The sequence below is a fragment of the Homo sapiens genome, chromosome 6, assembly GCF_000001405.40.
Source record: "Homo sapiens chromosome 6, GRCh38.p14 Primary Assembly".
NCBI lineage: Eukaryota > Metazoa > Chordata > Mammalia > Primates > Hominidae > Homo > Homo sapiens.
This window is the reverse complement of record NC_000006.12, coordinates 93,831,791-93,836,925: the sequence shown is the minus strand read 5'-3', so window position 1 is coordinate 93,836,925 and position 5,135 is coordinate 93,831,791. Positions and strand designations below refer to the sequence as shown.

At 45.6% G+C, this 5,135-nt stretch overlaps 2 annotated features.

Annotated features, from left to right (window-relative positions):
- Window positions 691-1,499: an enhancer, noted in NCBI's record as "OCT4-NANOG-H3K27ac hESC enhancer chr6:94545145-94545953 (GRCh37/hg19 assembly coordinates)". NCBI's record gives its function as "activates a minimal SCP1, AML or CMV promoter by ChIP-STARR-seq in naive and primed H9 embryonic stem cells {active_cell/tissue: H9 hESC(naive and primed)}" and the evidence as "EXISTENCE:reporter gene assay evidence [ECO:0000049][PMID:30033119]".
- Window positions 1,500-2,309: an enhancer, noted in NCBI's record as "OCT4-NANOG-H3K27ac-H3K4me1 hESC enhancer chr6:94544335-94545144 (GRCh37/hg19 assembly coordinates)". NCBI's record gives its function as "activates a minimal SCP1, AML or CMV promoter by ChIP-STARR-seq in primed H9 embryonic stem cells {active_cell/tissue: H9 hESC(primed)}" and the evidence as "EXISTENCE:reporter gene assay evidence [ECO:0000049][PMID:30033119]".

Genomic DNA, 5,135 nt, shown 5'->3' with positions numbered 1-5,135 from the left:
TCTGCATATGGCTAGCCGGTTATGCCAGCATCATTTATTGAATCGGGAGTCATTTCCCCATTTTTTTTTTTTTTTTTTTGGTCACGTTTGTCGAAGGTCAGATAGCTGTAGGTGTGCAGTCTGATTTCTGGGACCTCTAATCTGTTTCACTGGTCTATGTGTCTGTTCTTATAATAGCACTATACCTTGCTGTTTTGATTATTGTACCCCCGTCATATAGTTTGAAGTCAGGTAGTGTGATGCTTCCAGCTTTGTTACTTTTGCTTACAATTGCCTTGGCTATTAGGGCTCTTTTTAGGTTCCATATGAATTTTAAAATAGCTTTTTCTAGTTCTGTGAAGAATGTCAATGGTAGGTTAATAACATTGAATATATAAATTGCTTTGAGAAGTATGGTCATTTTAATGATATTAATCTTTTCTATCCATGATCATGAAATGTTTTTCCATTTGTTTGTTTCATCTCTGATTTAGTTGAGCAGTGGTTTGTAGTTTTACTTGTGGAGTTCTTTCACCTCCCTAGTTAGCTGTATTCCTAGGTTTTTTATTCCTTTTATGGCAAAGATTAAAAAAGACAAAGAAGGGCATTACATAATGGTAAATAATTCAATTCAACATGAAGAGCTAACTATCCTAAATATATATGTGTGTAACACAGGAGCACCCAGATTCATAAAGTTCTCGGAGACCTTCAAAGAGACTTAAACTCCCACATAATAATAGTAGGAGACTTTAACACCCCACTAACAATATTAGATAGATCATCAAGGTAGAAAGTTAACAAAGATATTCAGGACCTGAACCCAAAACTAGATCAAATGGGCCTGATAGTTATCTGCAGACCCTGAAACGATAGAATATATATTCCTCTCATCGCTGCATGGCATTTCCTCTAAAATCAACCACATAATTGAAAGTAAAACAACTCCTTAGTAAATGCAAAAGAACTGAAGTCACAGAAAATGGCCTCTCAGACCACAGCGCAATCAAATTAGACCAAGACTAAGAAATTCACTCAAAACCATATAACTACATGGAACTCGAATAACTTTCTCCTGAATGACTTTTGGGTAAATAATGACATTAAAGTAGGAATCTAGTAAGAAAAAAGCACAACATACCAGAATCTCTGAGACACAGCTAAGGCAGTGTTAAGAGAGAAATGTATAGCACTAAATGTCAGGCCTCTGAGCCCAAGCCAAGCCATCGCATCCCCTGTGACTTGCACGTATATGCCCAGATGGCCTGAAGTAACTGAAGAATCACAAAAGAAGTGAATATGCCCTTCCCCACCTTAACTGATAACATTCCACCACAAAAGAAGTGTAAATGATCGGTCCTTGCCTTAAGTGATGACATTACCTTGTGAAAGTCCTTTTCCTGGCTCATCCTGGCTCAAAAAGCACCCCCACTGAGCACCTTGTGACCCCCACTCCTGCCCGCCAGAGAACAAACCCCCTTTGACTGTAATTTTCCTTTACCTACCCAAATCCTATAAAATGGCCCCACCCTTATCTCCCTTCGCTGACTCTCTTTTCGGACTCAGCCCGCCTGCACCCAGGTGAAATAAACAGCTTTCTTGCTCACACAAAGCCTGTTTGGTGGTCTCTTCATATGGACGCGCATGAAATTTGGTGCCGTGACTCAGATCGGGGGACCTCCCTTGGGAGATCAATCCCCTGTCCTCCTGTTCTTTGCTCCATGAGAAAGATCCACCAACGACCTCAGGTCCTCAGACCGACCAGTCCAAGGAACATCTCACCAATTTTAAATCAGGTAAGTGGCCTCTTCTTACTCTCTTCTCCAACCTCTCTCACTGTCCCTCAACCACTTTCTCCTTTCCACTCTTCAATCTCTCCCTTCTCTTAATTTCAATTCCTTTCATTTTCTGGGAGAGACAACGGAGACACGTTTTATCCGTGGACCCAAAACTCCGGCGCCGGTCACGGACTGGGAAGGCAGCCTTCCCTTGGTGTTTAATCATTGCAGGGACGCCTCTGATTATTCACCCATGTTTCAAAGCTGTCAGACCACGCAGGGACGCCTGCCTTGGTCCTTCACCCTTAGTGGCAAGTCCCGCTTTTCTGGGGAAGGGGCAAGTACCCCTCAACCCCTTCTCCTTCACTCCTAGCAGCAAGTCCCGCTTTTCTAGAGGAGGGGCAAGTACCCCCAGCTCGTATCTCTGCGCCCCAATCCCTTATTTCCGTGCCCCTACCTCTTATTTCTGCGCCCCATCCCTTATTTCCATGCCCCGACCTCTTATCTCTGCGCCCCAACCCCTTTTCCCACTTTTCTGGAAGGTAAGAACCCCCGAACCCCTTCCCTCCATTTATCTACTCTCTCTTTTCTCTAGGCTTGCTTCCTTCACTATGGGAACCTTCCACCTTCCATTCCTCCTTCTAGTCCCTTGGCCTGTGTTCTCAAAAACTTAAAACCTCTTAACTCACACCTGACCTAAAACCTAAATGCCTTATTTTCTTCTGCAATGCCACTTGACCCCAATACAAACTCGACAGTAGTTCCAAATAGCCAGAAAATAGCACTTTGAATTTTTCCATCCTGCAAGATCTAAATAATTCTTGTCATAAAATAGGCAAACGGTCTGAGGTGCCTGACGTCCAGGCATTCTTTTACACATCAGTCCCTTCCTAGTCTCTGTGCCCAGTGCAACTCGTCCCAAATCTTCCTTCTTTCCCTCCTGCCTGTCCCCTCAGTCCCAACCCCAAGCATCGCTGAGTCTTTCTAATCTTCCTTTTCTACAGACCCATCTGACCTCTCCCTTCCTCCCCAGGCTGATCCTCGCCAGGCTGAGCTAGGTCCCAATTCTTCCTCAGCCTCTGCTCCTCCACCCTATAATCTTTTTATCACCTCCCCTCCTCACACCTGGCCTGGCTTACAGTTTCGTTCCGTGACTAGCCCTCCCCCACCTGCCCAGCAATTTACTCTTAAAAAGGTGGCTGGAGCTAAAGGCATAGTCAAGGTTAATGCTCCTTTTTCTTTATCCCAAATCAGATAGCGTTTAGGCTCTTTTTCATCAAATATAAAAATCCAGCCCAGTTCATGACTTGTTTGGCAGAAACCCTGAGACACTTTACAGCCCTAGACCCTAAAAGGTCAAAAGGCTGTCTTATTCTCAAAACACATTTTATTACCGAATCTGCCCCGACATTAAATAAAACTCCAAAAATTAAATTCCGGCCCTCAAACCCCACAATAGGATTTAATTAACCTCGCCTTCAAGGTGTACAATAACAGAAAAAACTTGCAATTCCTTGCCTCCACTGTGAGACAAACCCCAGCCACATTTCCAGCACACAAGAACTTCCAAACTCCTGAACTGGAGCGGCCAGGCGTTGCTCCAGAACCTCCTCCCGCAGGAGCTTGCTACACTTGCTAGAAATCTGGCCACTGGGCCAAGGAATGCCCGCAGCCCGGGAGTCCTCCTAAGCCGCGTCCCATCTGTGTGGGATCCCACTGAAAATCGGACTGTTCAACTCACCTGGCAGCCACTCCCAGAGCCCCTGGAACTCTGGCCCAAGGCTGTCTGACTGACTCCTTCCCAGATCTTCTCGGCTTAGCGGCTGAAGACTGACACTGCCCGATCGCCTCGGAAGCCCCCTAGACCATCACGGACGCCGAGCTTCGGGTAACTCTCACAGTGGAAGGTAAGCCCGTCCCCTTCTTAATCAATACGGAGGCTATCCACTCCACATTACCTTCTTTTCAAGGGCCTGTTTCCCTTGCCTCCATAACTGTTGTGGGTATTGACGGCCAGGCTTCTAAACCTCTTAAAACTCCCCAACTCTGGTGCCAACTTAGACAATACTCTTTTAAGCACTCCTTTTTAATTATCCCCACCGGCCCAGTTCCCTTATTAGGCTGAGACACTTTAACTAAATTATCTGCTTCCCTGACTATTCCTGGACTACAGCTATATCTTATTGCCGCCCTTCTTCCCAATCCAAAGCCGCCTTTGCGTCCTCCTCTTGTATCCCCCCACCTTAACCCACAAGTATAAGATACCTCTACTCCCTCCTTGGCGACCGATCATGCACCCCTTACCATCTCATTAAAACCTAATCACCCTTACCCCACTCAATGCCAATATCCCATCCTGCAGCACGCTTTAAAAAGATTAAAGCCTGTTATCACTCGCCTGCTACAGCATGGCCTTTTAAAGCCTATAAACTCTCCTTACAATTCCCCCATTTTACCTGTCCTAAAACCAGACAAGCCTTACAAGTTAGTTCAGGATCTGCGCCTTATCAACCAAATCGTTTTGCCTATCCACCCCGTGGTGCCAAACACATATACTCTCCTATCCTCAATACCTGCCTCTACAACCCATTATTCTGTTCTAGATCTCAAACATGCTTTCTTTACTATTCCTTTGCACCCTTATTCCCAGCCTCTCTTCGCTTTCACTTGGACTGACCCTGACACCCATCAAGCTCAGCAAATTACCTAGGCTGTACTGCCGCAAAGCTTCACAGGCAGCCCCCATTACTTCAATCAAGCCCAAATTTCTTCCTCATCTGTTACCTATCTCAGCATAATTCTCATAAAAACACACGTGCTCTCCCTGCCAATCGTGTCCAGCTGATCTCTCAAACCCAAGCACCTTCTACAAAACAACAACTCCTTTCCTTCCTAGGCATGGTTAGCACGGTCAGAATTCTTACGCAAGAGCCAGGACAACACCCTGTAGCCTTTCTGTCCAAACAACTTGACCTTACTGTTTTAGCCTAGCCCTCATGTCTGCGTGCAGCAGCTGCCGCTGCTTTAATACTTTTAGAGGCCCTCAAAATCACAAACTGTGCTCAACTCACTCTCTACAGTTCTCATAACTTCCAAAATCTATTTTCTTCCTCATACCTGACGCATATACTTTCTGCTTCCCGGCTCCTTCAGCTATACTCACTCTTTGTTGAGTCTCCCACAATTACCATTGTTCCTGGCCCAGACTTCAATCCGGCCTCCCACATTATTCCTGATACCACACCTGACCCCCATGACTGTATCTCTCTGATCCACCTGACATTCACCCTATTTCCCCAAATTTCCTTCTTTCCTGTTCCTCAACCCTGATCACACTTGATTTATTGATGGCGGTTCCACCAGGCCTAATCGCCACAC